At 38.7% G+C, this 14,608-nt stretch overlaps 1 protein-coding gene across 29 annotated transcripts in view; it reads left to right on the top strand.

The window, feature by feature from the left end:
- GREB1L (GREB1 like retinoic acid receptor coactivator) overlaps window positions 1-14,608 on the top strand; it is a 283,881-nt gene that overhangs the window by 216,488 nt on the left and 52,785 nt on the right. For all 29 annotated transcript variants that reach the window (XM_006722547.4, XM_011526179.4, NM_001410867.1 and 26 more), the window contains one exon: window positions 14,312-14,492. In XM_006722547.4, coding sequence (XP_006722610.1) covers window positions 14,312-14,492 — 181 coding nt within the window. The remainder of the gene's footprint in view (window positions 1-14,311; window positions 14,493-14,608) is intronic.

The following is a 14,608-nucleotide window of genomic DNA, read 5'->3' on the forward strand; positions in this document are numbered from 1 at the left end:
AAAAAGAAATGGAGCGGGTTTAACATCTTTTAAGTTTGCGTAACGTAGACTTGTAACTGCTGGAGTGATCGTGGGGAAGGAGCATTTTTATACTATAGGAAATTATTTTATTTTAGTGTCCTTTTTTTAGAAATCTGAAGTGGTAGCATAATTCTAATTCGGAGGACCCCGCATTCTGTGAATGAGAATACTAGCATACTGGTGCAATCCAAAGGCAAGCCCATTTCAGTTCAAGGTGGGAGAGAGAAGTACAGGAAGTGACTGTCCGTTTTTTGCCTCCCTGCTTGTAAAATGGTGTTGGTGGGAGCCCTAGCAAATGGGAGCGGATCTGGAGGTATCCAGGCAAGGAAGTTTTATCCTGTCAGGGGAATGACACAAATCTGATACTTTAACACATGCATGATTATAACAAAGCCAGAGAGACGTATTTGTCTGCTGATATAGAGATTACTCTATTCAAATGGACATAAGGCAGTTTTAAGGAAGCAGTAGACATTGCAGGGGAAGTGAAGAGAGAGAGGAAGGCATTCCCACTTTCTTTTCTTTTTCTTTTTCTTTACTTTTTTTTTTTTTTTTTTTTTTTGAGACGGAGTTTCACTCTTGTTGCCCGGGCTGGAGTGCAGTGGCACAATCTCGGCTCACTGCAACCTCCGCCCTTCAGGTTCAAGTGATTCTCCTGCCCCAGCCTTCCGAGTAGCTTGGATTACAGGCGCCCACCACCATGCCCAGCTAATTTTTGTACTTTTAATAGAGGCAGGGTTTCACCATGTTGGCCAGGCTTGTCTTGAACTCCTGACCTCAAGGGGATCTGCCCACCTCGGCCTCCCAAAGTGCTGGGATTACAGGAGTGAGCCACCGCGCATGGCCGGCATTCTCAGTTTCTAAAAACAGATTTTCTTGTGGCAGAGCTTTCTTCTGTAAGATAACAATAAATAACAAAAAAAAATTTTAATAAAAAAATAAAGACATATTTTTTTGGTCTCACCAACCTTATACTCCCTTGTTGGTCACTTAAAATTTCAACAGAAAAAAAGACAGTATTTTTTGTTCAGTGACTAAGACACAGGGAACAGGTGCCCAGGAAGAATGTACTGGGAAACTGCTGTCCTGAGGTAGAGGAAACACGAGAGATTGCTTTGTGCAAGCATAACCCAGCACATGCATTGCTGTCCGGGGGATGGCCCAGCCAATACCCAGCTCTCAGTACCTTCCGTTCTCACCCTCAGGCACATTTACCCCCCGCTTCACCACAGCCACAATGACTGCCCGCCTCGTCATACCCTGGACCCTGCCTAATCCTGGAATCACCCATTCAGATGTTCCCAATTTCAGGCCACACTCTCCTTCAGGCCACACATATACAACATGTTCTCACTGTGTGGGGAAAAATCAACCTTTCCAGTTGATGCCGTACTAAATTCTTGTTTTGTTTTGTTTTGTCTTGTTTTTGTTTTCGTTTTTGTTTTTGTTTTGAGATGCAGTTTCGCTCTTGTGGCCCAGGCTGGAGTACAATGGCATGATCTCGGCTCACTGCAACCTCCACCTCCCAGGTTCAAGCAATTCTTCTACCTCAGCCTCCCGAGTAGCTGGGATTACAGGCATGTGCCACCATGCCCAGCTAATTTTTTTGTTTGTTTATTTTTGAGACAGAGTTTCGCTTTTGTTGCCCAGGTTGGAGTGCAATGGCACAGACTTGGCTCACTGCAACCTCCGCCTCCCGGGTTCAAGCGATTCTCCTGCCTCAGTCTCCTGAGTAGCTGGGATTACAGGCATGCACCACCACACCTGGCTAATTTTTTTTATATAGACGGAGTTTCACCATGTTGGCCAGGCTGGTCTCGAACTTCTGACCTCAGGTGATCCACCCGCCTCGGCCTCCCAAAGTGCTGGGATTACAGGCGTGAGCCACTGTGCATAGCCCTTTTTTGATTGTTTAGTTGGTTCTCTCTCCCATTCTCCACAGTGGCTGTCATGGACTCCATTTCACTCCTCAAACCCCAGACTTCATCCCTCATCCTTCTCTCTTAGCAAATGACCATGCTACCCCACCCAAAGAAAAAAACAAACAAAAACTTCAAATAAAAACTTGCCTCTAGGCCAGGCATGGTGGCTCATGCCTATAATCCCAGCACTTTGGGAGACTGAGTCAGGTGGATCACCTGAGGTCAGGAGTTCGAGACCAGCCGGGCCAACATAGTGAAACCCTGTCTCTATTAAAAACACAAAAATTAGCCAAGCAAGGTGGCATGCACCTGTAATCCCAGCTATTCAGGAGGCTGAGGTGGGAGGATCACTTGAACCTGGGAGGCAGAGGTTGCAGTGAGCCGAGATCGCATCACTGCACTCCAGCCTGGGTGACAGAGTGAGACTCCATCTCAAAAAAAAAAAAAGAAAAAGAAAAAAAACCAACAACTTCCTGCCTGGGAATCTAGAAACCTAACTGTGTATACACCTGTCCCCTTCCCTGCTGATCAGTGGAGGAGCTGGCCCTGCTCTGTTTCAGCCTGACCCACACGCCTCACCCCAGATAGAGTTTCCACCTTTGAGGAACCTCACGCTATTGCTTTTCTTCTCTCTCATTGCTTCAACTTTTTTCTCTCTGGGGTCTCGTTCCATCAGTGTCAACCTGCCCCACTCTCTCAAAGACAAAACAAGACTTTGTTAATCCCACCTGGCCCTCCAGCTCCCCTCCTCCTACCAACTGCCAAACCAAGAGGGCTGTCCATCCTCACCTCTGTCTCCCAGTCACTCCCCGACACCTGGCAAACTGGCTCCCACCCTCACAGCACCCTTGCCCGTATCACCAGTGACCTTTTCGGTCCTTATTTGAGCTTTTGGCAACACTGGAGACCTCCATTCCTTTCATTAGATTCCTTCTGGTTCCTCTGGCTGCCAGGGCATGCTCCTTCCCAGCTTTTCTCCCACTGTGTGTGTGTGCGTGGTGCTCATGCACACACTGCAGTTCTCCAGCCCTGGCACTCAACACACTGTGTGTTGTAGTTGCATGTTTATTAATGATCTTTCTCTTCAGCCAGAAAGTAAAATGAATATTTTACTATGCATGAATATTTGCTGAACAAATATTCAACATTTTGTTGAATTTTAAGTTCAAATCTATTTTGAAAGGCAAACACAGAAATAATATTTAAGATTTCGTGGCCCTCTGGTAAAAACAAATTTAGTCATTAAAGCCCATGTTCCAGAAATCTACTTTGGCCAAGAGTAAGAGACATTAGTTAATGTGTTCCCTAAAAGGTTATTAATCTAAACCTTTAGGGAACACGGTGACTCCCAACCACCACTGGCTCTGTTCTAGAACTCAATGAGTTGCAAGATGTCAGGAAGGAAGAAGAGTTACTGGTGCTCCTATGTTCCCACTCATGTCAAAAGTAAGATTTAGTATTTAGTTAGACACAGCCCTGGATCTCTTAGTACCACCATCAGTGCCGCAGGTGCGCCCTGCTGATATCCATGTTTTATTGTGGAGTTGGAAAGGTGTGACAATTTGCTTATGATTCATTTGAAAAATAAACTTGTTTAATTCCATAGAACTGTGATAAATTAAGTTAGTAAGGAAACAGAATAAAAGTGACGTTTCTTAGACTGGCCATTGCTCATCACTTCTGACATTTTCAGATTCCTTGCCTCTGCTTATTTTTGAAAAACAAAACAAAGCATGAAAGTTAAGTCAGAAGCTAATGAAAAAGTTTATTTGTTCGTTTTGTTTTGTTGTTTTGTTTTCATTTTTGAGGTGGAGTCTTGCTCTGTCACCCAGGCTGGAGTGCAGTGGCACGATCTTGGCTCACTGTGACCTCCGCTTCCCAGGTTCAAGTGATCCTCCTGCCTCAGTCTCCAGAGTAGCTGGGATTACAGGTACACACCACCACACCCAGCTAATTTTTGTATTTTTGGTAGAGACGGGGTTTCGCCATGTTGACCAGGCTGGTCTCGAACCACTGACCTTAGGTGATCCACCCGCCTTGGCCTCCCAAAGTGCTGGGATTACCAGTGTGAGCCACTGCACCCGGCCTAATGAAAAAGTTCATCTATGGGATGGAAGAGATAGGTATGGAATGACTGTAATTTTGACTTTTGAGCCTTGAAAATGATTTATATATTCAAAAATAAAATAATGGGGAAAGGCAAACTTAAAATTTAATACAAACAAATGGAGGAACCTAACTGCATATCACATTGATAACATTAACCACACAGCAAAAAGAATTAATTCAAGTAATTTTTTAACAGTTTTCTTACTGTATGTTGTTAATGTGACATATCCTATGGGGAAAAAGATTGGAAAGAAATCTTGAATTTGAATTAGAATGTTTGTTACTGGGAGTATTACTGATAATCTTAAAACTATTTTGTGTATATCATAGGAGAGAGCCGATAGGTAAATAGCTTAATGGTTCTTTTTTTTTTTTTTTTTTTTTTTTTTTTTGAGATGGAGTCTCGCTCTGTCCCCCAGGCTGGAGTGCAGTGGCGTGATCTCGGCTCACTGCAAGCTCCACCTCCCGGGTTCACACCATTCTCCTGCCTCAGCCTCCCAAGTAGGTGGGACCACAAGCGCCCGCCACCGCGCCTGGCTAATTTTTTGTATTTTTAATAGAGATGGGGTTTCACCATGAGAGTCAGGATGGTCTCGATCTCCTGACCTCATGATCCGCCCTCCTCGGCCTCCCAAAGTGCTGGGATTACAGGCGTGAGCCACCGCACCCGGCAGTAGTTGAATGTTGAAAACCAGGGTTCTCAAATGAAAGATGGGAACTTCAAATGTGAAATGGGAAAATAAGAAATATTCATTTTAGGTTTAAATTGGCAATGAAAGGGTGAAGTCATAATTTGAAAAAAGAAAAATCCTCCTGTCCACTGAAAGACAGGGTCTCACTCTGTTGCCCAGGTTGGAGTGCAGTGGCATGATCATGCCCCATTCCAGCCTCGAACTCCCAGGCTCAAGTAATCCTCCCACCTCAGCCTCCCAAGTATTTGGAACTACAGGCACATGCCACCACACTTGGCTAATTTTTTTTAGAGACAAGATCTCACCACGTTGCTCAGGCTGGTCTCAAACTCGTATCTGTGAGCACATGGAGCATTTAGGTTTGGGCTTGTAACACCATTCCCCACTGTCCCAGCTCTGAAGTGGAAACATTTCTGGAATATTTTGTTGTGCCAGAAAGTGAGAAAGTGCAAAGATTGATTGGAGCATGCCAAAAGGACATGGCAGCCTGCCTGAGGGGATTTATGGCTAAATTTGGAAATTTCTAGCGTCACAAGGAATGATAGCAATGGATTGCAACCTATTGAAAAATTTTTTAAAACCCATGAGTCCAGAACAATACTAAAAAATAAAAGGAACAGGAGAAGTGAGAGGTTAGGGGAATGCCTTCTCTACAGAAGAGTACCAGTTAATAAATGCAGGAAAAATGATGGAATTAGAAAATCCCCACTTTGTAGTACCAATGTGTAATTATTGATTCTGACAAAGATGGATACTAAAGCCATTGAATAAAATGTCATTAGGGGGCCGGGCGCGGTCGCTCACGCCTGTAATCCCAGCACTTTGGGAGGCCGAGGGGGGCGGATCATGAGGTCAAGAGATCGAGACTATCCTGGTCTCTACCATTTATAGTAGAGATAGTAAAACCACATCTCTACTATAAATACAAAAATTAGCCGGGCGTAGTGGCACATGCCTGTAATCCCAGCTACTCAGGAGGCCGAGGCAGGAGAATCACTTGAATCCAAGAGGCAGAGGTTGCAGTGAGCCGAGATCGCGCCACTGCACTCTAGCCTGGGGACAGAGAGAGACACCATCTCAAAAAAAAAAAAAAAAAAAAAGTCAGGGAACAAATATTCACAAAGTCTCAAAGTATCATCCCATGGATCAAAAGCTAACAAAGAGGGAAAGGTATCTCTACAATGGAGAGATCTGGCAGTAGACACTGCCATAACCAAGTAATCAAAATTTGGCATCTCCAGTTATGAGACAAACTGACATTATGTGCAAAAAAGCACACAATGTCACCTATGAGGTATAATTGCCAAAACTGTTCAACCTGAGTCTGATCACAAGGAAGCTTCCAGACAGATCCAGATGATGTGGCATCTTACAAAACAATTAGCTTGAATTTTAAAAAATAATGTCATGAAAGATTAAAAAGAAAAAAGGTAAAAGAAAAGTCAGGGAGGCTGTTGGTTATTTTAAACATGGAGAATAAAGAGACATGACAACCAAGTATAATAATTCATTTATTTTTTAGTGGACAAAGATTGTATATATTTTTGATATAGAACATGACATGTTAAGTAAACATTATGGAATGGCTAAATCAAACTAATGAACATATCCATTACCTCACATACTTATTATTTGTTTGTGGTGAAGAACATTTAAAATCTACTCTCTTAGCAATTTTCAAGTGTAAAATATATTATTATTAACTATAATTACCATGTTGTACAATCAATTCCCTGAACTTTTCCTCCTAACTGAAATTTTGTGTCCTTTAATAAACCTAATCTCCCCAGCCCCAAAACCCATGCTTAATTCTTAATTGGATACTTGAGTAAAATATAAAAAGTTAAAACACAGCTCTGGGACAATTACTGAAACTCGAATATGGGCTGTGTATTAAAGAATATTATACTGATGTTGGTTCAGTTCCATAGATGTAATAATGATATTGTAGTTATACAGGAGAATGCCTTTGCTCTTAGGAAGAGCATATTGAAGGATTTAAGGGTAAAGTATTATGATATACGTTACTTATTTCCAAATTATTTAGCAAAAACACAACAATAAAAAGTAACAAAGGAAAAGCAAATGTAGCAAAATATTAACAACTGATTAATCTAATTGAAGAGTATACAGGTATTTATGACACTAGTCTTTCCATTTCTGCAGTAGTCAAAATAGAATGTGAAGTTAAAATAGTTGCTTTTCATTGATAATGTATCTTTCAGATGGAATTCTGTAGAGTTATTATTGTCCTCAAATAGTTTCTAAAACATGGATGGGTAATTTACATTCCCCCTTTTTAAGAAGTTTTAATTATTGAATAGATCAAATTTATAAAGGATATTTTAAAAATCACAATGGAATGAGCACTCATTACCCACCAAAATAAGGAACATGGAAGACTGTTCCTCCCTGGTGCGCCTCCTTGATGCTAATGTCCCTCTCTTTTCAAAAGTAACCATTACACTGAATTTTGTGTTTATCATTCCCTTGCTTTTATTTATAGTTTTACCATAATGCCTTAACTTCTAAACCATATGTGCTTAATTTCATATACTTTAAACCTAAGTGGAACTACATTCTACGTATTCTCCTGTGATTTATATTTTATGCTTAATGTTACGTCCCTGAAGTTGTTCCTGCTGTTGTTTGTAGCTGTAATTCATTCATTTTACTGATTTTTAGTATTCTTTTATATAAATACATCACATATCTTTTAAAAAGCACAATTCTACTACTGATGTACATTTGTAATGTTTCTAGTTTTTTGATTCCTTCAAACAGTGCTGGTACACATATAAGAGTTTCTCTGGGAATAGAATTGTTGGAGCACAGGTTATGAACATTTTAAATTTTACCAAAGAATGCTAAATTTTTTCCAAAGTGATTATATTTACACTCCCACCTGCAATGTATGTGCTTCAGTAAATATTTGGTATGCGCATACCTCCTTAAAATTTTTTTTATTTTAAAATAATTTTAGACATAAAAAAGTTGCAAAAATAGTACAAGGGATCTGAAAATGAAATTGAGAAAATTTTAATCACAAGAATATCCAAAAAATACATAGGAATGAATTTGACAAAAGAAGTGCAAAGCTTATGCTTTGAAATAATGAAGCATTGCTGAACAAAATTAAAGAATACCTAAATAAATGAAAAGACATATTTATAAAATTGAAGATATATTAATATTTTTAAGATGACCATATTCCCCCAAATTGGTGTACAGATTCAATGCATCCCCTACCAAAATCCCAGCTGGCTTCTTTGCAGAGATTTACAAGCTGATCCTAAAATTCATGTGGAAATTTGAGGACCCAGCATACCCAAAACATTATTGAAAAAGAATAACGTTGGAAGACTCTCACTTCCCCATTTTAAGCTACAGTAAACTATATAAGCTACTGTACTCAAGACAGTGTGGTGATGACAAAATGATAAACATATAGATAAACAAGATGGTATTGAGATTCCAGAAATAAACCTCCCATTTACAATCAATTCAGTTTTGACAAGGGTGCCAAGACAGTTTAACAGAGAAAGAACAGTCTTTTCAACGAATGATGCTGGGACAACTGAATATCCACATGCAAAAGAATAAAGTTTGACCTCTACCTCACATACAAAAAATAACTCAAAATGGATCAAAGACCTAAATGTAAGATTTACAATTACAAAATTCTTAGAAGAAAATGGGTATAAATATTTGTGACCTTGGAATACTAATAATTATTTCTTGTATATGACACCAAAAGCATAAACTTTTATACATAAACTGGACAATCCTCAAAATTCTAAATATTTGTACTTCAAAGGACCTCATCAAGAAAGTGAAAAGACAAGCCACAGAATGGGAGAAACTATTTGGAAATCATTTATCTGATACAGGACTATATCTACAATATTCAAGGACCTGTTACAACTCAATAATAAAAAGACAAATTGTTTAATTAAGATATGGATGAAGGATCTGAATAGGCATCTGTCCAAAGGAGATACATGAATGGCCAATGAACACATGAAAAGATGTTCCTCATTAGCCATTGGAGAAATGCGAATCAAAACCACAATGAGAGACTGCTACACACCCCACTAGTATGACCCATAAAAGAGAGGTAGTAAGAATTGTTGAATATGTGGAGAAGTTGGAACCTCGTACACTGCTGTTAGGAATTTAAAATGGTACAGCCGCTTTAGAAAACAGTCTAGTGGTTGTCCAAATGATTAAATATAGAGTTACTCTATGATCCAGAAATTCCACTCCAAGATATGAAATGAGCCGGGCGCAGTGGCTCACACCTGTAATCCCAGCACTTTGGGAGGCCAAGGCGGGCGGATCACAAGGTCAGGAGATTGAGAGCATTCTGGCTAACACAGTGAAACCCTGTCTCTACTAAAAACGCAAAAAAATTAGCTGGGCGTGGTGGCATGCACCTGTAGTCCCAGCTACTCAGGAGGCTGAGGCAGGAGAATGGCATGAACCCGGGAGGTGGAGCTCACAGTGAGCCGAGATCATGCCACTGCACTCCAGCCTGGGCAACAGAGCGAGACTCCATCTGAAAAAAAAAAAAAAAAAGATACGAAATGAGAGAGAAGTGAAAATATACGTGCATGCAAAAACACAAATGTTCATAGCAACATTATTCATAATAGCAAAAAAGCAGAAAAACCCAAATATCCACCAAGTGATGAATGGATAAATAAAATGTGGTATATCCATACAATGGAATATTAACAATAAAGAGAAATAAAGTATTGATGCATACTACAACGTGGATGAAACTTGAAAACATCATTCCAAGTGAAAGAAGCCAATCACACAAGATTGCATCTTGTACAATCCCACTTGCATGAAATGTCTAGAATAAGCCAGTCTATAGAGACACAAAGTAGACTGTGATTGCCTAGGGATGGGGGTGTTGAGGGAAGAATTGAGGGGTTAAATGTATGGAGTTTCCTTAGGAGGTGATGAAAATGTTTTAAAATTGTGGTGACTGTTGTCCAACTCCATGAATATATACTAAAAGCCATTGAATTATACATTATAAATGGGTAAATTATATGTGAATACATGCTTATATCAATCACAAACGCTGTTAAAAAATCATAGAGTTCGCTAAACCCTTCACTCAGTTTCTCTTAAAGTTAACAACTTACCTAACTATAATACAATTATCAGAGCAGGAACTCAGTGCCAGAATGATACTGTTAACGAAAGATCTCACCAATCTTTCTCTTCATGTCGTTTTTCCTGTTCCAGGTTCCAGTCCAGGTTCACACATTGCATTCAGTTATGTCCTCTTCATCTCCTGCAATCTATGACATTTCTTCAGTCTTTCCTGGCTTTTCATGACCTTAAGTGAATACTAATCAATTGTTTTGTGTAGGGAATGTTTGAGTTTTCTCACAATTAAATTGAGGTTTTGAGTTTTTGGCAAGAAAACCACAAAAGTGATACTGTGTCCTCATTGCATCATGTCAGGGAGTACATGAGGTTGATGTTTTATTATTGGTGATGTTAACCTTGATCACTTGATTAAGGTATGTCTGCCAAGTTTCTGCATTGTAAAGTTACTAGTTTCTTCTTTGGAAGTGATTTAAAATCTTGTGGAAATATTTTGAGCAATGGTAATATCCTGTTTTCATCAAACTTTCAACCACTAATTTTTGCATCCATTAGTGGATCTTGCCTGCAATTTATTGTAGTATTTCCAAGTTGATGATTTTCTGTCATTTTTTCCCTACATTTACTAGTAGGAGTTTGTTAATTAAATTCTGTAAGGAAAAGCTGTTCCTCCTCATTTATGTATGTATTTATAAATACAGGTCATTTTTATTTTATTCTATGGGTTATTTCCAACACTATAGTGATGATCATTATTATTTTGCTCAAATTTTCCAGCATTGGCCATTGGAGGCGCCTTCAGGCAGGCTCTTGTGGTTTTTTTTAACATATTATCATCCATTTTCACATACTGTTTTCTTACTTTCTGAAACCATAAGATATTCGAGGGTTACTTTGTATTGTTCTGCCTCAACACTGGGATTAACCTTTTTTCCAAGAAACCTGATTCCTTGTATTGAAGAATGGTATTTAGAAATGAAAATGTGGGCGTTAAGTGTGCCCATTGCTACTAGGATGTCATTGTGCCTAAGTCCACTCAGCAGACAGAGCTAGGAAATGATATGTATGTATATTAACCCATGAATGCACACATATACCTCTCTATTTCTATATCTACCTATCTATGTTTAAAAATATGAGTTATTTGTAACTTCTTTCTCTGACAGGAAGAAACCTAGTTCTCATTATCTACAATATATTCACTTCTTTGACTTTTTTTCTGGTAATTACACAATTACTAACTCATACTTCTGTGCCCAAACCACTGTCTTATTAACAAAGAAATTCTTAATTTCCAGTGAGACAAACCTCTCCCATGTTTTCTACTTCAGAACTATCTTGACTCTTTTTGGTTCTTTGCTCGGCCATATACATTTTAAAAACATTTTTTCAAGTAAAATTTAAAAAATCAAACCTGTTGGGCTAGGATCATGCCTATAATCCCAGTGCTTTGAGAGGCCAAAGCTGGAGGACTGCTTGAGGCCAGGGGTTTGAGACCAGCGTGGGCAACATAGTGAGACCCCCATTTCTATTAAAAAAAAAAAAATCTTAGCCAGGCATGCTAGCACATGCCTGCAGGCCCAGCTACTCAGGACGCTGAGGCAGGAGGATAGCTTGAGCCCAGTAGCTCAAGGCCACAGTGAGATGTGATCACACGACTGCACTCAGCGTGGGTGACAGAACAGGACTCTTGTCTCTTTAAATTTTTTTTTAAAAAAGGTAATTTTATTGGAATTACATTAAGTCTCTAGATAAGTTTGAGGAAAATTTAATTTTTATTTTATGATATAGCTCTATTTAGATCATTTTTAACATAATTAATAGTTTCATCATTTTCTCCATAAAGGTCTTACATACGTTTTGTAAGATTTATTCCTAGATACATAATATTTTTTGAACTTACTGTAAATGTTTTTTTAAAGTACATTTCCTAACTACTGCTTGTGTACAGAAATGCAACTGATTTTTGTAAATTGATTTTGAATCTATCAACTAAATTCTTATTGATTCATCCATAGATTATTTTGTGTTTTCTACACAGACATATTATTAGTAAACAATGATAGTTTTGTTCTTACTTGTTTTGTTTCTTTGTAGTTATAAGCCAAATATATATATCTCAGGATATACAATTACAAAATGTGAGTCAGGCTGCACAATATGCATAGAAAAAAAACAGGAAAGAAAGCACAAAAATGGAAGCAGTGAATTAAAGAATTATGGATACATTTTTATTTTTAAATGTATCTCTATACTTTCCAGTTTTTCCAAAATAAGTATCTATCACTTTCATTATGAGGAAAAAAAACAAAAATAAAAGCAAGTCTATAACACAATTTAAAAGTAGGGATGATCTACTAAAAATGCCCAGCTGCAAATAAAACAATCAGGTAGCTCTGATGTGCCTGCTGAGGACAGAGCCAGCACCCTGCATAGTTATGGACTAATATACTGTGTTATATCCAAGAAAACAACCTCTTAGATTTCTGGAACTTTGTTTTTCCAGTAAGGGAATGTATGGAATTGACCTGTCAAAGATACACAGTCATCTTTACACTGGACCTTAGCCAAAAAACCACAATCGGTCTTTATTTCATTTGTTTTGAAAGGCAGCAAACTCTTAATTATCAATACAGTATATTTTATCCTCTTTATGAATTATTTATGATCTTTTTAGGATGGCTTAACTCACGCTGCTTATTTCCTAAGGATAGACAGGAAATACAGACTAATTTGCAACTGGTACTACACTCCCTATTTTACAGATAAGGAAACAGACACTTCAGAGATTAAGTAGGTTCTTTTGTCTAATGCCTCTACCTGCTTCCTCTGCCTACCCCATAGTACCTTGTCTCCATCATGACACTCATCAGAATTTTCTGTCTTCTCCATCATGAACTCCATGAGATTTAGATCTTAGTCCTGTTCCCCTCTATCCCCAGACCTAGCACAGTAAGTGGCATGGCACACAGTAGATGATCAATAAATAGCTATCGAAGGTTGAATGAGTTTTTTCCTCTCTTTTGTTTCTTTTTTTTTTTTTTTTTTTTTGAAACAGTCTCACTGTATTGTCCAGGCTGGAGTGCAGTGGTGTGATCTCGGCACACCGCAACCTCGGCCTCCTGGGTTGAAGCGATTCTCCTCCTCAGCCTTCTGAGTAGCTGGGACTACAGGCGTGCGCCACCACACCCAGCTAATGTTTGTATTTTTTATAGAGATAAGGTCTCACTATGTTGCCCAAGCTGGTCTGGAACTCCTGGCCTCAAGTGGTGCGCCTGTCTTAGCTTCCCAAAGTGCTGGAATTACAGGCATGAGCCACCACACCCAGCCACAATCCACTTTCACAAAAAATCACAGTACCTGCCAAATTAAATGTTTGATTGATTGCTTTTGGAAATATTCACAGCAAAATTTGACTACATTTGGGTGGGAATTGAAAACAAATGGTGAGTAAAGCCTCCTAATGAACAGTGTTTGAAAGCAAAATTACCTTTCTCTCCACCTTTTCTGGTATAAAGAATTTTTCATATGGTAAAACTTTTTTTCTGTTATACCGTTTAGGCCTGTTAGTATTACAGATTCTAGATGCTAATTGCATGTAATTGTTCACTGAGCTGCATTTATATTAAAAGAAAAGACAGATAAAATTAAGTCAATATAATTCATAAAAGTCTCTTCATTTAAAGGAAGATTTCTTCTTTTAATCAATTATCTCAACAACAGTTTTATGTGCCTAGAACTACTTTAGATGTGTGCAGAAGTAATTTTATTATAGACAGAGATAATGATACAGTATCAAAGTTTCATAGTTTCTAATATTTTGAGAATATAGCAGTCATGACTAATTCAGTTCAGTTTATTAAGTTGGTACCTAAATCCAACATTCACTGAGGTCTGCCAGTGCTCTAAATACTGTGCAAGATGGTCACTGTATAAAAATGAGTAAAACACTACCATGAAAAGCTGACAATCTAACGTGGTATCCTTGAACATTATATTGGTTTTTTTTTTCTTGTATATGGTTTGTTGCCAAATTTAGGGTTAAAAAGGCTTATATTAATTTGGTCAAGAGCTGTAGCCCAAAGCTTAATTTTTTTCCAGGTGGCCTGTTGAAGCCATTAGCAGCAGCATGTTATATACAAATAGAATTTAATGAAGCAAAGGTCTCATACACTCAGCTGCCTTTATCTCATGTACCAGAATGTTCCCTGTATTTGTGTCAGGGATGGGAGGTGAGCGGCAGTGTTACAAAGAAAAGGATATCTGATATTTCCTCCTCATACTGTGATGGGGAACATAAGAAAGAAAAAACATCTGCTCTGTAAATCTCTTCATACAGTTGGTACCCAGTGTCAGCTGACAATGAACTCAAGTCTATCTCCTGTGTGTGTGTGTATGTGTAAAAGTGTGTTAAAAGATGAACTTTTTTCTTCTTGGCAGGTGTCCTTGTAGACTTGGGTCTGGAGGAAAATGGGACAGCCCATCAGAGAGCAGAAAAATATGTTGTTCGTCTAGACAATGAGATTCAAACCAAGTTTGAAGTTTTTATGAGGAGAGTGAAACAGAACCCGTACACACTGTTTGTGCTAGTTCATGACAACTCCCATGTGGAACTAACGAGGTGATTGGTTCAGAGTGAGCAAATGGAGTCTCCCTTCTACAGGAATAATTGTTACCTAATGAAATATGTTAAAGATGGCCAGGCGCGGTGGCTCACACCTGTAATCCCAACACTTT

Source organism: Homo sapiens, chromosome 18 (genome assembly GCF_000001405.40).
Source record: "Homo sapiens chromosome 18, GRCh38.p14 Primary Assembly".
Taxonomy (NCBI): domain Eukaryota; kingdom Metazoa; phylum Chordata; class Mammalia; order Primates; family Hominidae; genus Homo; species Homo sapiens.